Source organism: Homo sapiens, chromosome 6, assembly GCF_000001405.40.
Source record: "Homo sapiens chromosome 6, GRCh38.p14 Primary Assembly".
NCBI lineage: Eukaryota > Metazoa > Chordata > Mammalia > Primates > Hominidae > Homo > Homo sapiens.
The window spans coordinates 161,710,221-161,735,644 of NC_000006.12; the positions used below are offsets into that span (position 1 = coordinate 161,710,221).

Below are 25,424 nucleotides of genomic sequence, written 5' to 3' on the forward strand. Positions count from 1 at the left end.
GTCATCCTTAAAACAATAGCTATATAGATGGTCCCTGACTTACTATGGTATGCCTCAGGATGGTTCAGCCTTATGATGGTGTAATGCTTTCAGCACGCTCATTCACTTCCCATGGGGTTACATCCACGTAAACCCGTCCTAAGTTGAAAATACCATTTGTGACTTAATGATATTTTCAATTTAGGATGGGTTTACTGGAACATGACACCATCATAAGTCAAGGAGTATCTGTTGTATGTTTTTTCTTCTTCTTCTTCTTCATATCCTCAGTTTTAAGCTAAGAACATAGGCATGGAGTGTGTGCATATCTGTGTGCATGTGTATATGACTGCTCACTGTTCTACAGGCATTTAAACATCATAAGAATGATTTGATGATCCAGTCTTCTGTTAGAGGTCTAGACATATTCCACTTCTACACTTCTAGAGAACTGTTCTAGGCCATCTGCCAACAAGCCAAAGCTAGCTGCTCACCACCGGGCTCTGTCCGCAGGAGTCACAGCAAGAAATAAGACATTTTCTTGCTTCTTGAATCTTGAATGTGCCTGCCTGCTTAACTTCCTTCCTTCTTTTCTTTCTTCCTTCCTTCCCTCCCTCCCTCTTTCCTTCCTTCCTTCCCCCTTTCCTTCTTCCCTTCCCTTCCCTTTCCTTCCTTCCTTCCTTCTCTCCCTCCCTTTCCTTCCTCCTCCCTTTCCTTCCTTCCTCACCCCTTCCTTCCTTCCTTCCCCACTCCCTCCCTCCCTTCTCCCTCCTACCCTCTTTTCCCCTTTCCTTCCTTTCTTCCATTTGATTGTAGACATGGAGAAAGGATATTTCTTATTCCCGTTGATCTGAAAGACAAACTAGATAAGAAATCTAAAAACCTATCTTTTCAGACACTTAAAAAAATAGGCACAAGGAGAGGGGTCATATCATCTGATCATTTTCATTATGTATCATTGTTTGGGTTGAAAAACATGAAAAGCATTCCAAGGACAAAAGACATTACAGGTCTGGTTCCTGCCTTTGATAGTTTTACTGTTAGAATGGAAGAAAGGGAAATACATATAACGATGAGAAAGCAGCACGATGGTAATGCAAATGGAGGAAGCATTGTTACTACAGTAAAAATACACACTGATGCATGTATACATTATACATGAATTAATACATATAGAAAGGTACATATATGCATTGTATGTCTATGACTGTGTGTATACAGAATGTGTCAGAAGAGAAGTCGTCATATGTGGAAAAGAGGTTTAACTGCTTCAGAATTCAAGATTTGTCTAAATTTGAATAATAATAAATACATTTAGATTGGCAGAAAGGAGAAATTTAGAAGAACAAAGTTGAGAGGAGTGATGGTTAATACTGAGTGTTAATTTGATTGGATTGAAGGATGCAAAGTATTTTTCCTGGGTGTTTCTGTGAGGGTGTTGCCAAAGGAGATTAACATTTGAGTCAGTGAGCTGGGAGAAGCAGACACCCTCAACCTGGGTGGGCACCATCTAATCAGCTGCCAGCACAGCTAGAATAAGGCAGCAGCAGAAGATGGAAAGAGCAGACTGGCTGAGTCTTCCAGCCTTCATCTTTCTCCCATGCTGGATGCCTTTTGCCCTCAAACATCAGGCTCCTAGTTCTTCAGCTTTTGACTCTTGGACTTAAACCAGTGGTTTGCCAGGGGCTATTGGGCCTTCAGCCACAGACTGAAGGTTGCACTATCGGCTTTCCTACTTTTGAGGTTTTGGGACTTGGCCTGATCACCACTGGCTTTTTTGCTCCTCAACTTGCAGAAGGCCTACCGTGGGACTTTATCTTGTGATCATGTGAGTCAATTATCTTTAATAAACTCCCTTTCATATATACAACACCTATCCTATTAGTTCTGTCCCTCTAGAGAACCCTGACTAATACATGAGGTGAGGTAACAACTCAGTTAGCATTATGGTAACAGAGACCAGATATTGAAAGTGGGAAATCACTTGGGAGAATATTCAAATGTGGGCCTCAAGTAAATGAATTTCACATAACAAGCAGTAATGGAGTCACTACTGACACTTAAAATGGCTTAAAGTTAGGTTATTAGCAAATAGGTTATTCTAATAGAAACAATGGGGTCAACTGGATGAAATGTGGGCAGGAAGCTGGGTTAGGATGTTGCTATACTGACTCTGTAACACATAAGGATACATTCCGTATCTTAGCTCTTAATACTCCTCAAAGAACATCTATGACACCTTTCCATCCAGTATTAGAATCCATTTTACGATACTTCTGAAACTAGTCCATTCAGACTCTCAAAAAAACCTTCCAATACCTGGGAGCTTATGATTTCTCTAGGAGTCTCATTCCATTTTTCAATAGCACTAATTCTAAAATTTGTTTTTATTTTGAATATAAATCTGTTCCTTATTAAATTTACTTCCATATGGATCTAAGTTCTTCTGTAAGAAACAACACAGATGAACTCTACTCTCTTTTTCACTTGATAGGACTCAAATATCTAAAAACATATACGTATATAAATGTCATGACTATCTCACAGATTCTCCCCAATCTCCACCATATCTGTTCTGGAATAAGGAAAACAAAAACAAAAACAAAAACAAACTGTTTTTGTCCTTGCACTCAGACACTCAACACAGAACACTTCTATGACCAGATGGTGGTGGGGGGGACTTGCCACATATACCAAGCAGTTCTCCAGTGGACACCAACTGGGTATCCTATAATTCAACTCGATTCTGATTCTACCTACCTGGAAATAGCATCAGATCCCACAGATTGAGGGCTCAGCCCCACAAGACTAGAGACCTCAATCACAAGTTGGGGCCACCTGTACCTCAGACCGATGGGCTACAAACCAAGGTTCCCACAATTTCCTCAATGGGTAAGATTAATTTGCTGGAACAGTTCACAGAACTCACAGAACTCATGAAAACACTTATATTTATTGGTTTATTCTAAGGCATTATAAAGGATGCTGATGAACACCAGACGAAGAGATGAATAGGGTGAGGTGGGGGGATGCAGCTTCCATGCCCTTGCTGGAGCTGCCACCCTTGCAGCATCTCTACATGTTCAGTACCCCAGAAGCTCATCAAATCTTGTTGTTCAAGAGTTTATAGGGAGCTTGGTCTCTAGTACCCCCTTCCCAGAGGTCAATGGGTGGGGCTGAAAGTTCCAGCCCTCTAATCTTCAAATTACTTGGTCTTTCTGGGCCAATCTGGAGGCTCTCTAGGGGGTGCACCCTGAGTAAATGCATTAGCATAAACATAAGAGTTATCCAAGGGGCTAATTATGAATAACAAAATATACTACTATCACTCCAAAATTTCCAGAGGTTTTTAGGACCTCTATGACAGTAACTGGGGACAAAGACCAAATATAGTTCCTATTACACCACAGCTCTTCTTCAGACTAGACTCACACATTTTTCAACTGTTCCTTGTACGACCTCACTGTCCATCACTCTGGCTCATACTCACTTGTTCACATTTATGCTGCTCTAAAAAGGGTGCTCCAGGTTTGTAACACCGTGGTATGGTTTGACTCTGTCCCCACCCAAATCTCATCTTGAATTGTAGCTCCATAATCCCCACCTGCTGTAGGAGGAACCTGGCGGGAGGTAATTGAATCATGGGGCCGGGTTTTTGCCATGCTGTTCTCGTGGGAGTGAATAAGTCTCATGAGATCTGATGGTTCTATAAAGGGCAGTTCCCCTGCACACGCTCTCTTGCCTGTCACCATGAAAGATATGTCTTTGCTCCTCCTTCCCCTTCTGCCATGATTGTGAGGCCTCCCCAGCCATGTGGAACTGTCAGTCCATTAAACTTCTTTTTCTTTATAAATTATCCAGCCTCAGGTATGTCTTTATTGGCAACGTGAGAACGACGGATACACACGGTGATTCACAGTGGCTTGATCTGAGCAAAATACACTGTAATTCAATATTAGCAATAGATGACAAGCAACTATGGCCATGGTGAATCTCAGATGCTGAAAAGAGGGGAAGAAAGAGAGCCCCAGCCCTCACCATAAGGCTTAGAAGGGAGTGCTATGGTTTGAATGTGTCCCCTCCAAAAATCAGGTGTTGCCAATGCAGTATTATTAAGAAATGGCTTCTTTAAGATGTGATTAGGCCACGAGGGCTCCTCCCCCATGAATGGGATTTAGATACTTATAAAAGAGGCTTTACTCCGCATTAGGCTCTCTTGCCTTTTGCCATGTGAAGACACAGCAAGGAGGTGTCATCGTGCAAGCAGAGAGCAGCCCTCACCAGACACCAGTGCTGAAGTCTTTATCTTGGACTTCCCGGCCTCCAGAGCTCAGGGTGATAAATTTCTGTTCTTTATAAATGACCCAGTCTGTGGCATTTTGTTGTAGCAGCACAAACAGACTAAGACAGGGAGTGTCCATGTACTCCATGTAAAACACTTTTTTTAAATGGCCATTTAAGACCGTAAACACAGAAAAGAGAAAAACAAAGACAACTTTCTCATTTACTTTCACACTTACAAAACAGTTCTCAAATGAACACACAGAGATTAGTGAATGCATTATGAAAGAATGAAGATGGTAAGACACTTGTTCTTATTCCCAGGACAGAACCGGTGAGAGATGTGTTCGCTTTTGTTCCCCACCGCCACCCCACAAAGACACATATCAGTGTTTACTTCCTTGAAATTGGCATTTTCAGGATTGGAATATCCCCACAATAAACTTCCAGATGCCTGCACATCTTTCAAATACGGCATCTTAAGGATGCCATATTTGAACGGTATTCTTACCATTATCCTTCCCGCCTGCTTCCTAAAACACTTTCATAACCAGAGATAATAACATTCCTCGTCTACAAGGCAGCTGCATGCCAAAGACACAAGCAGCTGCACCTCCGCTCAGTCCACATTGCTGGGTTTTTATAACGAAAATGTGCACATTAGACTTTTTTATGGTTTTGCCTTCCTGGAGGCGGAGTAGCTCTGAGGTCCATCATTCACTGATATTAGAAGGCTGCCTGTGGTAACACAGAACCCAATGTAGCAGATAACAAAAGGCAAATATAATTTGAATCAGAGAATGGCAGGACTGGAAGACTCAACAGAAAAAATCCCGTTGTCTTCCTGACTTTCGGTGATGATCTGAATTACCTCTGAATATCTGGAACGCCATAGCAGCCTTTTCTTGGTGGTGGGATTATGCGTATTTCTTAGTTCTCTTATTTTTGTTTATCTGTATGTTATTTTTACTCAGTGAATATGTATCCCTCTTCAAGACAAATATATGTGTTCATTAAAAATAAAGGAGATTAGGTTAGTCATGATAGTTTTATGTTCATTTAAAGATGTGTCCTCCTAACAGCTTTTATAGATTTAGGGTGGCTGGCTAGTTCTAAATAAAAACTGACATTGTTCCTTCTTAAACATGCGGTGAAAACTAGAGGTTCACCACTGTTGCCCAGGCCCCAGTTTCCATCCAGTTGAGTTAGGATGTTGCTCAGTTAAATCTCAGCTGACAGAGGACGTTACATAGCCAGCTGTGGCTGAGAGGATCCAGTGTTTCTAGAGCTGATGCAGAACCCCAGTCACTGGGGGGAATGACGGGAAGCTTCTCAGTCCTCACAAGCTCCCCTACCATCCACTAGGACCCTCTGCTCTGCTGTTTGCCAGAGCAGTAGCTCTCAGGGACTCCACACCAGCACCATCAGCAACATCTATGAATTTGTTAGAAACTCAAATTATGATACTCCACCCTAGACAGACTGGGTGAGAAGCGCTGGGGTGGGGCCCTGTGATCTATATTTAACAAGCTCTTCTGGGGAATTGGATCTGGTTTAGCGACACAGCCACCATGCTGTGCTGGGCCCATCTTACCGACTCCTCTCCTGAATCCCCCCAGAGCTCCTCTAAGCACCACTGTGTCTCCAGTTCCTGGTCAAATAGAATACAGAGGAGACTGGGTTAATTTGATGCTCACAGCAACCTTGTATCTGATGCTCTTTTCATATTATTGCTGTTGGAGTAATATTCTATTGCCAGATGTCAGTGCTGATAAAGAATTCAGAAATGAGGAGGAACTAGAGGCATTTTCTGGGCCTCTGCTGTTTCTCTTTATTTCCAACATGCCACTGGCATGAAATATAGCTGGCTGCATTGAAAGTAGCAGTGCTTTTTTCCCCCTAAATGTATAGAAATCTGTTTTCCTTATGCGTGGGTGGCAATTTGCTGCTGGTAGCTTCAAAACCATGGCTGCACTATGAACAAAAAAAATGCTCTTACCGTCTCAGCCCTGTTAACCTCTTTCTCCCAAACAAACAAATAAACCTAAACGCTATGTCTAAGCCCATCTGTCAACAGGCATTTACTGAGTACCTATTGTGTTTAAGGGATTTTATGTGCAAGGTGTCTCAAGAGGGGGGGAAAAGAAACAAAGGCTATGTACTTAAGATATTTTCACTGAGGTTGGGCAGACAAGGCTTGAGAACAATTATCAGGAAATCTATTAGACCAACAATGGTGAAACAAAACAGTGCCAAGTGGACGCTGGAAGGCAGCGGCAATGCAGTGGGGGCAGCGTGGGAGGTGAAGTGGCCCCCAAGGTGGCATGGCCAGAGCAGAATGTGATGAGAGACCAGGCGGCTGGGAAGAGGCCTTCAGCTTAGAAACAATAAGCAACAGGGAACCACTTGGAGTTCTTGAGCGAGGGAAAGACAAGATGAGCCTGGTAACCATAATTAGAGAAGCATCACACTGAAGTGTGGGCTGGTTATCGGAGGGTAACACGGGCATGTGTTCTAATTGCTGTGTGCAGAGCATGTCATGTAGGCTGGGCTGGCCAACACCCAGCTGTCAGAGGTCTTATGTTCTACTAGGGACAGATGTGAAACAACCATGGCAAGAAACACACAGGATGTGTTAGTCCATTTGTGGTCCTGTAACAGGCTAACTGAGATGGATAATTTATAAAGAACAGACATTTCTTTCTTACAGTTCTAGACTGGGAAGTCCAACATCGAGAGGAGGCCATCCAGTGCGGGCCTTCTTGCTGTACCAGCCCATGATGGAATGCGGACGGGCAAGAGGACTGAGAATGGCATGAATCCCCCTTCACCTCCCAAAGGTCCCACCCACCTCCCAACACTGGTGCATTTCCACACTTGAACTTTGAGGAGCACATTCAAACCATAGCACAGGATAACTTTACACCATAATAAGTGCTGTGAAGACACTAGAACACCATGAGAGAGTCAAAGGGTGGGGGTCCTGCTTCAAGACACATCTGTGTTCTGACATCGCACCAAGGGCTGGTCTGTCTACGAGACTGTGGGGAGCAGGAATATGAGGAGGAAGAAGCAGATTGCGGAGATGGTGGGGCGGTAGAGGGAAATGTCTTCCGGTGTTCCTAATTCGTGAATACTTTGATTCTTATTCATATCTTCTGGTCAGCAAATCAATATTAGTATTTGTATCAATCATAACATCTCACATTTGAATTATACTTTGTAGTAGCCATGATAACTCTGTGAAGTAGACACAGAAACTCTTTACACAAGACCTTCTAAGAGAGGAAGGGGGTGCCTGTGTGTCACGCCCGCGAGGGGTGGGACTTGGATCCTGCCTGAGAGTTTTGGCCCAGGCCCGCTTCCATCCCGCTGTGCTCATGCAGGCAGCTTTCCCCTTCCATGGTGAGTGGAGCCTGCTCAGGTCCTCAGTGTCATTGTGCATGAGAGTGAAGAGGATGCCCAGAGGGAAAAGCGCTCAGCTGTGTGTGTTTCCAGCAAAACAGACGCATGGCAGAACGTGGGGAGAAACACATCGACCAGAGCTAGCTACTACGTATCACTAAAATTGAGCCGTTTTATAAATATTTTATATTCATACAATGTGCCTTGCGATGGTTGGAAGATACATTTTTCAAGATGGTCTTTTTTCACTGCCCTTAGTTGAGCCTATTAATAATTAAGGTAACTTTCTTAAATGAGAAAACGGATTTGAAAGCCAGGCAAAGTGTTGTGTACTGGGAAGAGAGGTTTCACACATTCTCAAGGAGCGTCCATAGCAATCACCAAGAGGCACCTCAAACCCTGGCATCCAGGGTGCAACTGCAGGAAGACTGAGATGGGCACTAAACATCATTCGCCTAATAATTCCCATATGACTCAGTTTCCCTACTGAGACTGATCCAGTGTGGAGGACATGGGTGCTACTTCTTTATATCCCACACTAGAGAGTGCATGTAGAAGGTAATTGACAAATATTCTTTGGAGGCATGAATGATGGTGCCTTGGGAACCAAGGAAACTAGTCAATGAAAAAAATAAATGAGTCCACCCAATTTCAGGGGGCTAGAGATGTGCTGGGCAAAGGTGTGGCCTTCTCAGGGTCATTCTCATTCCCTAGGGTGGGCACCCCGAGAGAAACAGCCCAGTGGCCTCGGGACTATCCCTAGCAGGCACCTGCCAGTAAGGCTGCACCCATAATAGACAAACCCTCTGATGGCCTGATACCTGTTGTAAACAGGTTATTAGATATTGTAAATATCACTCTTTCTGGAAATGATGGGTGCAACTGGCTTTTAAATCTTCCTCCCGTTCAGTGACTCAAGAGGTCTTCTATCCTTCAAGTGTGTTATCCTGCAGAAAAAAAATTTAAGAATAACTGCTCCAGAACATCTTCTGAGTCTCATGATTAGAGGGCCAGTGAAGGGGCTTTAGCGGCATCTCACAATTATAGATAATCTCATGGAGCAGGCTAATTACATTCCAATCCCTTCACTCATAACTAAGACTGTTATCAATAAGCCTGACATTATTGCTGATTACAAAGACTTTCTTATTTGCTCGCTGTTTAATTACTCAGCTTTTAAATGTTCCTTGAAGAAAAACTAGAAAATGGAGATAAACAAAATAAGAAAGGGGAAAAAAATCACCCCTCATCGCCTAGCGAAGGGTACGGATTGCCAACATTCTCGAGTCTCTCCTTCCAGAGATTTCCCTGTTGTGCTGACAGTCTTCATTAATGGAGTTTTTTTTTTTTAAGTATTTTTAAGTATTTCTCAAGAGTTGCAGGAGAAATAAAGAAAGTAAAGAGAGAAGAGAGGAAGGAAAAAGGAGAAGAGAGGGCAAGCAAAGTTTCAGAAGACTACCTTGCCAGGCATCTAGTGTAGGGTGGGCAAATGTTTTCTGTGAAGGACCAGCTAACCAACATTACAGGCTTTGTGGGGCTTGCAGTCTCTATAGCAACTACCCAACAACACCTTTGTACCACAAAAGCTTTCTTGTCTGCAACACTGCTTTCAGATATGTGACTAGGGCTATCATGTGTGATTATGGACATCATGATATAATTTAAGTCATCTCTGTGTGCACATTTAAAAATCAGGAATAAAATGAATTGAATATAATACTATTTAGCCTGTATCTTTCATAGGGTGTCCCTCTTATATAAGTCTTTTGTTCTCCTATCATGATAAGAGAAGCTCATGTAATACTGCCTGATGACCCTTGCTAATCCAACTCCTGCGTTCAAGCCATCCTCCTGCCTTAGCCTGCTGAGTACCTGGGACTACAGACATGCACCACCATGTATGGCTATTTTGTTTTTTAAATATTTTGTAGAGACGGTTTCTCGCTATGGTGCCCAAGCTGGTCTTGAACTCCTGGCCTCAAGCGATCCTCCAGCCTTGGCCTCCCAAAGTGCTGGGATTATAGGCATAGGCCACTGCACCCAGCCCGCTGTTCTAACCCACTTCACTGAGTCCGTGGCTCTGCAGTCTTTCTCGTGTAACTCCAGTTTTGCCTCCCCGTTTGCACTATGCTCCAGTTTTCCGTGGTTCTGCTTCCTGGTCTTACTAGGATTACAGCACAACAAACCAACAGAGAAAACCATTGGATTCCACTGGAAAGTCGAAAAAAATAATTAAGGCTAAAGTATAAGAATAATCACAAGCCTGAAGTGCTGCCACCTGATAATTATTAACCATACTAACAATAATAAAAAACATTATCAACAATTAAAAAGTTCAAAAGAGTAGCAGCAGTCATTAAGAGCTAATCACCCACCAGGTATGACGTGAAGGTCTTCATGTGCATTATCTCATAGCAGCCCTACCACAGGTAACTACTATCTCCCTACCTTATGCAGGAGGGTAACTCACAGCTGGTACCTGGAGAAATCTGAACTTATGCATCCTGAATTGGGACTCAATGCTGTCAATCCTCCTGTGCCCCGACACTGCAGGGTCTGCTCTGGAAGCACATCTGGAGGCACCGCAAACTCATCTGCCCCACATTTCAGAGGGCACTGATGGGCACAGGTGGGGGGGGGCAGGTGGGCAGAAGAAAGTCACCCCCTGCAGAGAGGAGGCCTGGCATTCATCTGAGAAGGGGCTCTCCATCCTACAGACAATGTGCAACTGTCTTCATCAATAATATTGAAGGTTTAAATGTACAGTTTCCTAACCAGGATGATTAAGAAAAATATCTGTCATCAATGAAAATGCCCTTTGCTTTCAAAATAGAAAATTCTACAAGAAGTTAGTATATTCTCATAGGTACTTTTAAAACTATTTTTTTTTTTTTAACTATTTTTAAGTCCTGTATATTTCTTCATTCATCCTGCAAATAAAGATATCTTGACCTTACAAATTAGCAAATGTTGTTCTCAATCAGTTCTACTCCAAAAGAGTAAAGAGAGATTAAGTGAACCTTATCATTTCAGAAGTATGCATTACTTCCCGTTCATAATGCAGACAGACTGTTTTTAATTAAAGCTTTTGGACTTAGGCTGGATTTTCTAGAGGAATATCATGGAAAAACTTTCCCAATGGTTGGTAATCACATTTGATATGAATAAGATGAAGGTGCGACATAACATCCGATCCATGGGCAGAGGTCCCTCAAGTTTATAAAGTTTGTCGTTTGGGAAAGATAAATTGTTATTGTTGTTATTTTTAACTAAACAGAAAAGTCAAATTAAAATGTGATTTTGATCCAACTGTGTATGTATAAAATGTATAAAAGTATAAAATAAAGCTGTCCCTTGAAATATGACCAACTGATTTGTAAAAGTCAATTTCATTAGAATATGCAGAATAGAGAGAACATTTGAGCATTTTTATTTCAAAATTCACTTTGCTAGTGCATTTAGGACCGATGTGAGGGTGGGATACATAGTTTCTCTAGCAGGGCAGCATCCCTGCCTTGCCCATGGCTTTCCTCGTGCCTGCATCTGCTCAAGGGCCAGCCCTCCTGACTAAAAACGGAGATGCCAGATCTACATAGAGGACACTAGAGCTTTAAGGCTAAGTAGTGATTATTTACTTCTTGATAAAATAATAAAAAGTAATAAAAAATAAAATTTAAAAAGGCTTCTAAGGCCAGTTGTTTATGCAGTCCCATCACACCAGAAAACATAAATGGATTTTATGGACGCACCTGTTCAGGGCCCTCTTTGGTGGGCTCTGGGTCCCCCCCGTGCTGGGGCTGCGTGGATGGCCCGTCAGCCACGCCACCCACCGTGATCTGCTGCCTTCAGAGGGCTGCTGCCTCCCTGGGTCATGGTGTCACCCCTACTCGGTGAACAGAAAAAAGTTCAAACACTTAAAAATCACTGCTCCCAAACACAGTTCTGCTTGGGTAAGTGGCAGATTCCATGTGAATCTCAGTTTTTACAGATTAAGTGGAACTGTTTGACCCCAGCTTTCAGGTCCGGATAAAATGAGAAGTTTTTGAAAAGGGGATTAGAAAAAGACCTTAGAAGCACTTGGTTTGGAAGCTAATTTTTTCCACTCAGACTCACAGGGAGGGAATCCATTGAAAGCACCAATTACTCCTTCTTTCATAGTCTGGGAAACTGGCCTCTAAATCTCCGCCTTTACTGGTAAGTCAGGCTCAGCAACCCTCCTTAGGCTTGAGTTAAACACCTTAACACCTGCCTCTGCTCCCAACATGCACACAAACCACAACCAAACCAAAAAACTATTTTCTGAGTATATAGAAAATTCGGGGGGAAAAGCAGGAAAGCACAAATCCCCATAATGCCCCCAGCATACAAATATCATAATATTTTTGTGTGCATTGATTTTTACGTAACTGGATTCATAATGTATACATTATTTTACAATATCATTGTACTTAGTATATTTCATATTAGTAAATACTTATCTACAAGAAGGGTTTTGGTAGCACAGAGTTCTCCTCCTAACACTGTATTATAATTTAGTTAGCTCAGCACCTGTTGTTGAACTCTGACTTGTTTCCACTTTGTCACAGCTATAAGCAACGCTCTACAGAACAATGAACATAACCCTGGCTACATATCTGGTAATTTTCTTAGGATAAATTTCTAACAGTCTATTTTCTGGTCCAAACGTGTAAACATTTTCAATATTTTGATATATCAGCAAATTTCTGCCCCACGAAGTTGATCCAATTTATACTCCTGTCAGTATTTTTTGTGATTCCATGAATCCAGGGCAAAATGGAACATTGAATGCATTTAAAAATATTTTATAATGAGATAAAAATGGTGTTTTATTCTTCTTTTAATTTGACATTAATTTGTCTATGCCTCTTATTTAAGGAATTGTTTGGTCTTGCATTTTTACAATTTTTCTTTAAAAATTCTCTAAGAAGTTTTTCTTTTTGAGGTCATTGGGTTTTCTCTCCTGACTTTAACCTTTAAAGATTTCCCTCTACTTTTAGCTCTTGAAACATCTCCCTTAGACCTTTAAGTTCTCCCATTCTCCTAAAAAGAGTCCTCATTTAGGAGTTAAACAGTGCACGCTGGCTGGGCACGGTGGCTCATGCCTGTAATCCCAGCACTTTGGGAGGCCAAGGCGGGTGGATCACTTGAGGTCAAGAGTTCGAGACCAGCTTGACCTACATAGTGAAACCCCATCTCTACTAAAATACAAAAATTAGCTGAGTGTGGAGGTGAGTGCCTGTAATCCCAGCTTCTTGAGAAGGTGAGGCAGGAGAATCGCTTGAACCCCAGGAGGCAGAGTTTGCAGTGAGCCGAGATTGCACCACTGCACTCCAGCCTGGGCAACAGAGCAAGACTCCCTCTCAAAAAAAAAAAAAAGTGCATGTCTACATGATTAAAGTGACACACAACAGATCACTGTTTATTACAAATCCTCATGTCTTTTAAAGTTCATGGTAATATGTTTATGTTTTAACCCAAAGTCTCTGTTCCTCTCCTATTCCCACCACTACTTAGAGCAAGGATCTTTGCATTGGAAAGCATTGGTGTGGGAGGGGAAACCTACAGTTTCTGCTGGGGTCCCCATCTTGCATATTTTGGCTTTCTGGCTCCTGTTGTTGGCGGCTGGGAGAAATGACCTATGCAGGGTCCATGGGCAGCCCTAGAGGTTGAAGTTCAAACTCAGGGATGAAAGAAAGAAAGACAGACACTTTCTTTCACGACTGTAGACATGATCAATGGCCTGCACAAAAATGAGTCTATCACTTTACACCCAGGGCCACTAGTCACCTTGGAAACTGAATCACACACTCTCTGAAAAAAGAAAGTGGAGCCACAGATCTGGGCACAGTCCTCCCCATGCTCTGAGAATCCACGCAGGCTGCCTTTGCCGCTCCCTTCTTTCTCCTCTCATGGGTGTTTCCTGTGGATGCTTCCCTCAAGCTGGTTCAGCAGACCTGTTCTGCCCTCACGGCCTCAACAGGGAAGACAGAGAACAGTAGGGGGCTCGGTCTTCAAGACACCTGTCTCCACCACCCTCTCCACTGCGCACTCACCTACAGCTCCTTCCACTGTGAGTGCGTGGAAGCAGCTCCTTCCATTGTGAGTGTGTTTTAGAAAATGTGGGAAGGTAGATGTTTCAGCAACATTTCTCCATTCAGTGATGCTGGGGGAAGTAGAGCTTCTTGCCTGGTGAGTCTGCAATGTCTAGATTTAAGGGTCCCCATCTACTGTCCCTGAAAGGACGGGCACATGGAATAAGAGTCCTTATCTGCCAAGTCCTAGTAATGCTACTGCAGAGGGGAACGGCTGAAGAGCTAATAGCTCCCTTTCATGTTAAATGATTCAAAGTGATCGTGAATAGCATATTTTGATACAAGGATATTGCAACTTTCTAAATTTGAAAGGATATACATGTGCTAATGCAGAAAAGCTTATGTATGGACATACTACAAGTGACAGTCATATTCTGCATTTGTAAAAGAGACCTGGTTGAAAAATATGGTAAGCGTTCATACTTTCAGGAATTGCTTCTCTCTCAGGGATGGTGCCTCTGATGATAGTGTGAATTGGAAAGCTGAAAAATTATACTCTCAGTACTGCTGGTTACATTTGCAATTTCTGCTCAAATTTTGATTTGTCCAAAGCCTGATACATTTTATCTAGCCATCTAATATCATTTAGTTTCTGGATGCTGAGGCTGTAATAATTTTCATAGCCTCTGTACTAAAATGCTACATTTTGTTTTTCTTTGTATTTTATCATGCAGGGTGAAAAATATGAACACATTTTTATAATTCTGGGACCAGTTATATACCCGGAGGTCTGGCAATTACTAGAATTCCCCACCAATTATTAGAATGATAATATCAATAACTAAAGTTTAATTGTGGGTGATATAATTTGGATATATGTCCCTAACCAAATCTCATGTTGAATTGTAATCCCCAATGCTGGAGATGGGGCCTGGTAGGAGGTGTTTGGGTCATAGGGGTGAAACCCTCATGGCTTGGTGCTGTCTTCACAAATAGTGAGTGAGTTCTCATAAGATCTGGTTATTTCAAAGTGTGTGGCACCTCCCCTTCGCCCCACTGTCTTGCTCTTGCTCTCCCATGTGAGATACCACTTTTGCTTTTCCTCCTGCCATGAGTCAAAGTTCCTTGAGGCCTCCGTAGGAGCCTAGCAGACGCTGGCGCCATGCTTCCTGTACAACCTGCAGAACCATGAGCCAATGAAACCTCTTTCCTTTATAAATGACCCAGCCTCAGGTATTTCTTTATAGTAATGCAGGACGGCCTAACACGGTGGATAAATGTTCAAATGATTAAAAATTTTGTTTAATGCAAACATTTAAATAATTCAACAAACCAGGTCTCTGGAATTATAAAGACAATGGGTAGGGTAACCTCAGACCAGTTCACTAGATCATAAATTGATTGAAGGCAGTAGACTCAGGACAAATAAAAGTAAGAACTACATTACTTGGTGCCTGATGAAGTGGGGAATCATTTATCTTCAAAGATAGTACCACCTAAATATTTCATTAGATTCCAGAAGGGTTCATGGATGATAGATGCAGAAGTGATTTGCTAAAGGCACAGGCAGGGAAGAGCCTGAATCTTTTAAGGTACAAATTTCAAAGACAGCACAGGTATTCACAAAGCATCCCTTCTAGTCACTGGCTAACCGCATGGCTCACCCTACCCATTTCCGCAGTTTGTGGCAGTCATTATTGCCAACACTAAAAAGAGCCTGCTGGGTTTTGGAGGTACCTGGAGCCCTGAGCCCCAAAGTCTCAGGAAGATCAATTAACTTTAATACTTAGCTTCCTCATCCACAAAATAAAGAAAATTCTTTGTTTGCAGGGTTGAAATGAGCATTAAATGAGATGATTTTGGCAAAGATCCCAGTACCATGCCTGGCACATGCTGTGATTCTCAGGGACCAGTCCCTCTTCTCCCATCCTCGGTCATTGCTCTTGAGTTTTTGATCTTCCATATACTGTCAGAGCAGGAGGTTAACTACAGCAGCTCTGAGTTTTGTCCCTTCAAATGAAATATGTCCCACATTTATTTCAGCACATTCAATGACCATTATACCAGGAGAAGGCAGTGTCGTATGCAGCTGGAAATGAGGGCACTGACTTCACTTCACAAATCAAAAGGCATAAAGTTAGTCTGAGGCTCTCGTCAATGTGCACCTTGTAAATCTGCGGCCCTGCTATGAGACACTCATTCCTGCAGAGAGGGACTGAAATAAAATTTAGTTCACTTTCTGTAGTAGAAATGACAGTTTTTCTATGTAAAAATAGCATTCCAGTGGATTCAAAGATGTGTCATATCATTCAATGTGTTTCTGGAAACTCTGTTACTGTTAAGAATTCTGAGGACCACTTGCTGTAGTAAAAATGGCATTTATTCTATGTAAACAGAGTAAATCTATAACAAGACAGATCATTCAGTTGTTGCACGTGGAAAAAAAATCTGCCAAAGTAACCTATGTCGTGAAAGCACTTAATGTGTTATCCGGCACATGGCAGGTGCTTAGTAAGTGTGGGTTTCCCTTTCATTTCCTTTTCCTAAGGAGTGATCCATGGAGTCATCTTGATCTTGAATCCAAGAATGTCCCTCTAGGACCATCATTTGAATACAGTTGGTAAGAAGAAAAATAAATTCATCATTTATGAGTAATTGATTTGCTAAATGATCCTCTACTTAGTAGATTTACATAAGTGACATTTACAAAATGAAAATATGCCAAAACTGAAAAACCATGACATACAAATTTGATGAGAGAGGCAAAAACAAAGATAATGATAATAAACATGGAAGAAAAAAAGAGATAGATGCCTGATAGGTCAGATAGAGAGATGCCCTAGAGGACCCTATAGGCCCTCCCAATCAGGAATCACAACTCATTTTCTGAAACTATGAAAATAAAATCTAGGCTTGTATTCTTTCAATTTAAGGAAGTTCTTCTTGTTCTAGATCTTTGTTTGGCTCTTCCAAAATAGTGATACTGGCCAGTCACATCTGAAAGTAGGCTGCTTCTGTCCTGGATGTTGTCACTAGGTCAGAAACAGGGGAAAGACCCTGACTTCTCGGTTCCCCTCTTCCCCTGCCTGTAGTGTCTGGACGAGGCGGATCTTTTCATTCACAAGGATCTTGTCATGGATCCTAAGAGAACAGGAGACACACACAGGAGAAACCAAGGGTGGCGATGGGCTCCATAACTCCCAGGGAGCTGCTGGCTAGCTGTCGTTTCTTCACAATGGGAGTCCTATTTTCTTGTCCTGGACAAAGGCAGTGGGGAGGAACAATCTCACACCTCTCAGCCGTCCAACCAACCCCTGCAGGGCAAATGCATTAGTTCCCGCTGTTATCCTGAGGACTGTTTCTCTGCAGAGGGACAGAAGAGGGAGTGCTCAGAGCACACAGTGAGCCGGGTCCCCAACCTTCCTCCTCTCCTGCAACTCACAGTGCAACTCAGTGATGGATCCTTCCCATAAATAACAGGGCCTAATGTGCTCATGAGAGGGGATTGCTTTTAGATAACAAGGATGTAATGGAAGCAGCCTCAAATGAAGAAACTTGCAAATGATTAATTATGGATCAATAAAAGATGATCCAATTGATTGTAGAGAAAGTCTGCAGCATGACTTCCTGGATTCGCTCAATGTATGGTCTTTTTAAAATGCTTGCTGTGATCATCCTGTGTTGATGGATCTACTTCACAGGGAGGGACAGTCTAAGTCCCCCTTTAAGCCTTCTGTGTCTGCCTTTAGCAACTTAACACACAGGCATCAGAACACAGGACATTGCATTAGCTGTTATTCCTACCAGACTTCATGATGTCAATAAAGGAGGCCAGTAAAGGCTGTCACTATGCAACTTACAAAAAGGTTTTGCTTTTTTGTTCTGTTTCAGTAAGACTGGCTTATTTATTGCCGTGTATTCCTACTTACTTTTCTCTGAATAACAAGATTAATTTAATGAAAAGAAAACCCAATTCCATACCCCAGAAAATGATCCTGAACATATCATCTTATTAAAAACAGATTTTAAAAATTAATAAATTAATTGAGAACTGGGGCCTCTGGTATTCCAGTGGAAGATGCCCGTCATCACCCATTTTCGCTTCACTGATGGGAATTTCCAAGAGCGAAAGGTTTGTCTCATCATTTCAGTGTAAAAATTAGCGCTTTGACAATACTTTGCATGGGCTAAAAGATGCTGGGAAAGTTTTTGACAATTTGAAAAGATGTCTATCTGTTTAAAGTTCTCTCAGTTCTCAGCAGGTGGAGCTAGGAGAATGATTGTTTTTCTCCTACCAAAATGTGAGAAAAAAAAAAACATTCCACACCTATAGAAATTTTAATCACAGAAAATGAGTGATTCTCAAAATGAAACCAATAATAGTGTCTTCTTTAGCTAGCAAATCTTGCCTCTCTATTTTGCTTTTAATTTTCAAGAACAACCAGTCACATTAGCCTACACTGCCCTCCAAAACCCCGTGTGAGGGATCCCACCAGACTCGCACTGCACCTGCCAAGGTTGAGAGGAAGAGGGGCTTGTCACCGCCCCCCACCTGATTGAAAGTAGAATATATAGCAGGAGAACCAGGCTGCACACGTACTGTACAAATTTGGGGGGAAAATATTGTTTTACACAATCACATAATAGATGCTCATGGTTAAAAACAAACACAGGAAAAAAAGGAGAGGCTTTCTTCAAGTGTGTATTTATTTATCTTCTGATGGAATATTCTTTTTGGGCTTTTGAACCCAGCAATGCCCTCAGGAGCGAGGGGTGAGGGGCATTTTGCTCCCCATGATGATGGCATGTAGGCTCCTGGGGCACAAGGCAAAACCACCGTATGAGTTCCCAGCTCCACTATTCTTCAAAACATAAACAGGCCAAACCAGGCAGGAGCCTAATAGCAGGAACATATTTTGTATTATAAAAATACACAGTAGCATATACTTAACAAATCTTCTTACGCAGTGACCCCTCTCCTGCAGGAAAAGTAATCATGGCATTCTAGAGTTTGCCTGCATTCAACCAACATAAAATCAAACTCAAATGTGCCTAGATGTACATCTAAAGCCTCTGAAATAATTCTAACAGTTGAAAAAGATGAATGAGATAAACAGAAGGAATTAACATACAACAATTATTCTTCCTTTGTTCAACTCTTCCCATGAAGTATAATTTCTTTTACTATTGTAATTCTCAAATTCAGCTTAGGCAGCTGAGAATGTGTATCACTGCTCTTTAATGAAGAAGGTTTAATATTATTCACATTGACTATTATACTCTCCTATATGCTTAGACACTTCAACTCTAATAACACCACTAGGTAACACTAAAAGGACACCAAGCTTTACATAAAACCCAAGGTCAAAAATAATTAAGGGGAAAAAAGTCAACTTTTTAAGAAATTCTTTGGATGGAATTCTTAAAAATTAAAAATGACAGTTTTTTTTTGCGCATGTGTGTAAAGTAACAGTTAAGTCAACTCTATTTTTAAGTGAAGATATTATTACATTTGATTATTATAGGTTGGAAAAATGTCTTCAGGTAGAGGAATAATCAATTCAAAAAATGTCTTCCAACTTTACATTTGTAGACCATTTTACAGTTCAAGGCAATTTCTCATTCCTTATTTCACTTAAGCCAGTTAAAAAACCCAGTTTTACCTGACTCATTGAGATGTCTGACTCAGATGTGATGTGTGTCAAAAGGAGTCTGTGATTACTGAGGGAGCACTAAAATTGGCAAATTAAAAATATATAGTTCAAGAATATGTTCAAGATGAAACTTGTGAGGACTTCATTCTAAGGCTTTTGCTTTCTGATGTGTTACATTCTGAGGTGTTGCATTCTGACATGCTGCATTCTTCCTGATATGTTGCATATTCTGACATGTTGCATTCTTTCTGATGTGCTGCATTCTGACATGTTGCATTCTTTCTGATGTGTTGCATATTCTGGCATGTTGCATTCTTTCTGATGTGCTGCATTCTGACATGTTGCATTCTTTCTGATGTGTTGCATTCTGATGTGTTGCATTCTTGCTGATGTGTTGCATTCTGATATGTTGCATTCTTTCTGATGTGTTGCATTCTGATGTGTTGTATTCTTTCTGGTGTGTTGCATTCTGATGTGTTGCATTCTTTCTGATATGTTGCACTCTGATGTGTTGCATTCTTTCTGATGTGTTGCATTCTGATGTGTTGGATTCTTTCTGATGTGTTGCATTCTTTCTGATGTGTTGCATTCTGATGTGTTGCATTCTTTCTGTGTTGCATTCTGATGTGTTGCATTCTTTCTGATATGTTGCAGTCTGATGTGTTGCCCTCTGATATGTTGCATTCTTTCAGATATGTTGCATTCTGATGTGTTGTATTCTTTCTGGTGTGTTGCATTCTGAAGTGTTGCATTCTTTCTGATATGTTGCATTCTGATGTGTTGCATTCTTTCAGATATGTTGCATTCTGACGTGCTGCATTCTTTCTGATATGTTGCATTCTGATGTGTTGCATTCTTTTTGATGTGTTCCATTCTGATGTGTTGCATTCTTTCTGATATGTTGCAGTCTGATGTGTTGCATTCTGAAGTGTTGCATTCTTTCTGATGTGTTGCATTCTGATATGTTGCATTCTTTCTGATGTGTTGCATTCTGATGTGTTGCATTCTTTCTGATACATCACATTCTGATGTGTTGCATTCTTTCTGATGTGTTGCCCTCCGATATGTTGCATTCTTTCAGATATGTGGCATTCTGATGTGTTGTATTCTTTCTGGTGTGTTGCATTCTGAAGTGTTGCATTCTTTCTGATATATTGCATTCTGATGTGTTGTATTCTTTCTGGTGTGTTGCATTCTGAAGTGTTGCATTCTTTCAGATATGTTGCATTCTGATGTGTTGCATTCTTTCTGGTGTGTTGCATTCTGAAGTGTTGCATTCTTTCTGATATGTTGCATTCTGGCGTGTTGCATTCTTTCAGATATGTTGCATTCTGACGTGTTGCATTCTTTCTGATGTGTTGCATTCTGATGTGTTGCATTCTTTCTGATATGTTGCAGCCTGATGTGTTGCATTCTGAAGTGCTGCATTCGTTCTGATATCTTGCAGTCTGATATGTTGCATTCTGAAGTGTTGCATTCTTTCTGATATGTTGCATTCTTTCTGATGTGTTGCATTCTTTCTGTTATGTTGTATTCTGATGTGTTGAATCCTGATATGTTGCACTCTGATGTGTTGCATTCTGATATGTTTTCTTGTTGAGTTTAAAAGATGGAGCTGTATGCAGGGTTACAGGAATAAGGCACAAACAATGGACCCATCCATGGGTGTGAAGCACATGTGCGGCCAGAACCCACCTGGTGGGTCATGACTGAAAAAACACTGTGAACTATTGCCTAGGCCCATCTCATGGTTGATATCTTTCCTGCTACTCTGAACTCTCTGTGACTGTCTATAATAACTGTAGGCATTTCTACACAACCAATAGTTTTTTGGAAGCAGGCTAAGATTTTTTACATGTATCATTAAATAAATTTACTTATTTTGAATTTAACATAAAGCATAAAAGATTTAAAAGTAAAAGTATGTATTTTGAGTAGGTATTTCCTTACATTGTGTACACCGTGTATGCATTTTGAATGTTTGTTTATCTAATAAAAGTTGTAAAGGCTTTTGGAAATATAAAACTGAATGATCCCCCACATTTCTGAAGAAATGTGAATGGCAAATTATAGGATGAATGGGATGGATTACAAGTCAGAAATTAAACTCTATAAAGATAAACAGAGACTGAAGAAGACAGAGAAATGCAATTGGAAATGAAGGCTAATTAAACAAAAGCACTAAATATGTCTAAGCAGCAAGCTACAATTAACATGGAAGACAAATTGTGAGCACAACTGCATTGTGAATATACACACACCAAATATAAATATTATGTTAATAACTGTGACGACTTGGTAGAAAGGTGTATGTTTCAGTAGGTATAGCCATTACATTTACTTTTTTTGGTATTTTTTTTTAACTTTTGTTTTAGATTCAGAAGTACATGTGCAGGTTTGTTACACAGGTAAACTGCATGTCACGGGGGTTTGGTGTACAGATAATTTCATCACCCAAGTACTAAGCCTAATACCCAACAGGTACTTTTTCTTGTTCTATTTTTTTTTTTTTGAGATGGAGTCTTGCTCTGTCACCCACGCTGGAGTGTAATGGTGCAATCTCAGCACGCTGGAACCTCCGCCTCCTGGGTTCAAGCGATTCTCCTGCCTCAGCTCCCTGAGTAGCTGGGATTACAGGTGTGTGCCACCATGCCTGGCTAATTTTTGTATGTTTAGTACAGACAGGGTTTCACCATGTTGGCCAGGCTGGTCTTAAACTCCTGACCTCAGGTGATCCATCCACCTCAGCCTCCTAAACTAACAGGTACTTTTTCTGGTCCTCTCCCTCATCCCACCCTCCATGCTCAGGTAGGCTCCAGTGTCTGCTGTTCCTGTCTTTGTGTCAATGTGTTCTCATTGTTCAGCTTGCATTTCTTCAGAGGTTTTTTTTTTTTGTGTGTGTGTGTGTGTGGAGATAATTCACTTTTATATTTCCGAAAGCCTTTAAAACTTTTATTAGATAAACAAACATTCAAGATGCATACAGTGTACACGATGCAAAGAAATACCTACTCAAAATATATACTCTTATTTTAAAAGTGAGAACATGCAACATTTGGTTTTCTGTTGCTGTGTTAGTTTGCTTAGGATAATGGCCGTCACCTCCATCCATGCTGCTGCAAAGGCCATGATCTCATTCTTTTTAATCAGCCATTACATTAAAGATGTCAGAGTTTTATGGGGCTATTTGAGCTTCAGTTAGCATCCAGGGTTCTTTGCATTGTCTCGATGACCTGGTCTCATGCAAACAATGTCTGGACTCACCCTCACTTGTTAGCAGTGAGCAGATTGAGTTTGCCTCAGGAGAATTTTCTAGGGACAAATGGAGATCTCTAATGTTGCCCTCATATTCCCCCTTTGGAGCAACAGCACCATAATGAGGGCGTAGGAACCTCTCAGTAAAGATTGCCTTTCTACTTCAGAAAATGCTGCTAACAGAAAAAAACAAAAACAAAAAGAAAAACGGATTTTTATCAAATTGGTAATGAAACACTTATTTCATGCTACTGGGTATATGAGGTATTATTATCAGAAAGATATCAAACAGTTAAACTTCACCTCTACTAGCTACCTAGGAAAAATATGTCCAAATTTTATCTAATTTAGGACAATATGGATTTTTAAGTCTTAAAACTGATGGGAAAGTCTATGGAATCTCCTTATATGGAAAAGTATGAAAATAAGCCAGAATTAAAAGAACTGAGTAAGATAATCTCATGAAACCCTTTGCAGGTTTATAATTTAATTTTTTATTGTTAAAATGCCCATGGTTTATGAACCTTAACTTAGAATCCTCCTGTAATAGCCCTGTTGAATAAACAACACCCGGGTATAATCATCTTCAGATACGAAAGGCAACTGCATTCGCATTTCTTGGGATAACAGCCAGAATACTACAGGTAGTAAACTTTGGGAGTGATTACCAAACCACCTAGGAGATAAAACTCCCTTAGCTTCCAGCTGATGCCTTATTCTCAAGATTTGTCATGACATAATTGCCCAGAATATAAGACTCGAGGTAATTCACTTTGCTTAACTGAAACAAAGCTTGATCCCAAAGAGAGAAAATTTTCAGTCCTTGCCAAGACTGCTGACCATTTCTTTCCAAAAATAGTGACTTGGGGTCAGTGGATCATTTAATATCCCTGCTTAGTATTGTTGAAAATTCCCAGGGGGTGAAAAAAAAAAAAAATATATATATATATGTATATATATATATATATATATATGTATTCCAAAGTGAATGACACAGAATGTGTAAGTGCTTATATTTTTAAACTACAAGTCTGTCTCCAAAAAATAACTTTCATCTTTTCTCTTCTAATAAATACTTTTTAAATGACCTCTCTTTTATTGAAAATTCATTTACACACACACACACACACACACACACACACACACACACACACACACATATTTGCTAATGGAAAAAAGAACACAACACAACAAAGAAGTGTATCATAAGGAAAGTTTCCCTAAAGTTCATCTGGATGTGGTTTTACATCATCCTTCCAGCCAGTGAACACACAGATGTGAAGACATGTGCAAGCCATGTTTGTTAATTTATAAAGTACTGTACCTCGGTTTTCCTGCAAATTTTAAAGCAACTGAAAATGAACTGCAGCTTACATTGCTAACATTTTCCAGCCCATACAAAGTCATAAGATAACCAAAAATCATGTTTCAACCCACGGTATTCCATACAATGAATGCTTTCACTCCAGGCCTGCGAATTAGGCTGACATCTTCCCTAGCTGTAATATCTCCATCCCAAAATACGTTCATTCAATATGTTCATCAAACACAGTGAGAATTTCTGTTTTCATACTGAGATTAGTATTGTGTGGAGCCACCTGTACAGGATTATGAAAGGCAGATCGCAAAGTCTTGTGATGGTCAAGACCCTCTCTGATCAGCAGAGGACCTTGGTACTCAGGCCTGGACTTGTGGAAACTGAGGGGTAATACATTTGTGTTAAGTGTGTGGTAATTTGTTGAGCTGCGGCAATAGAAAATGAATACAGTGACTAATTTCCCTAAACATTTAGAGGAAATTTCTTGGCATAGGTGAGTTTTTAATGCTAAAATTTAAAACAGTTGCTTTTTTCACTTGATGTTTTACAAATTCCAGTGAATTGAATAAATCTTCCAAGCCAATGCTATTGAGTGGGACCTGAGTGAATAAGGTATGTACACTCTGTACTGAACTGAATATTTTTCATAGTTTTACCAAGTTTCATGTGTCCCTTTCCCATTTGCCTATATCACAATGATGACGCACCTAACAGAAATAAATATTAATAGTCTGAATGTGGATATCACCACTAATAATTTCCTTTTAATTAAACACATGCTTACAAACACAATTTCCTTAGAAAAATATTTTCTTTTTCCAACACAAGAGAATTTTAGGGATTATAAACAAGCAAAAAAAAAAAAAAAAGCACATGCCCCCTCCAGTGTTAGTTGCTGCCTTCCTGTTAGGTGTCTTCTCCAGCCTCTGTTCCCCTTGTAGAGAGAGGCTGAGGAGGGTGGATCACAAGGTCAAGAGTTTGAGACCAGTCTGGCCAACATGGTGAAGGGTACAGTTGACCCTTGGATGACACAAGTTTGAGCTGTACACACAAGTCCCCCTCATGTGGATTTTCTTCCACCTCTGCCACCCCTGAGACAGCAAGACTAACCTCTCCCCTTCTTCCTCCTCAGCCTACCCAACATAAAGACGATAAGGATGAAGACCTTTATGATGATCCACTTCCACTTAATGAAGAGTAAATATATTTTCTCTTCCCTATGATTTTCTTAACATTTTCCTTTCTCTAGCTTACTTGAGGATATTTATATAATACAAATAGCATCCACAATAGGTGTTAGTCGACTATTTTCGTCATCAGTAAGGTTTTCAATGAAGAATCAACTATTAGTTGTTAAGTTTTTTGGAGAGTCAAAAGTTGTACACAGATTTGCAACTGTGCAGGGGCTCAGAACACCTAACGCCTGTGTTGCTCAAGGATCAACTGTATTTTTAAAAGTGAGACTGTAAGGCCAGGCAT

General features: G+C 40.8%; 1 protein-coding gene across 6 annotated transcripts in view, besides 1 other annotated feature; it reads right to left on the bottom strand.

The window, feature by feature from the left end:
* Nucleotides 1-25,424, bottom strand: part of PRKN (parkin RBR E3 ubiquitin protein ligase) — a 1,380,350-nt gene that overhangs the window by 362,804 nt on the left and 992,122 nt on the right. The gene's annotated exons all lie outside the window — the stretch shown is intronic.
* Nucleotides 16,753-17,506: an enhancer, noted in NCBI's record as "OCT4-NANOG hESC enhancer chr6:162148005-162148758 (GRCh37/hg19 assembly coordinates)". NCBI's record gives its function as "activates a minimal SCP1, AML or CMV promoter by ChIP-STARR-seq in naive H9 embryonic stem cells {active_cell/tissue: H9 hESC(naive)}" and the evidence as "EXISTENCE:reporter gene assay evidence [ECO:0000049][PMID:30033119]".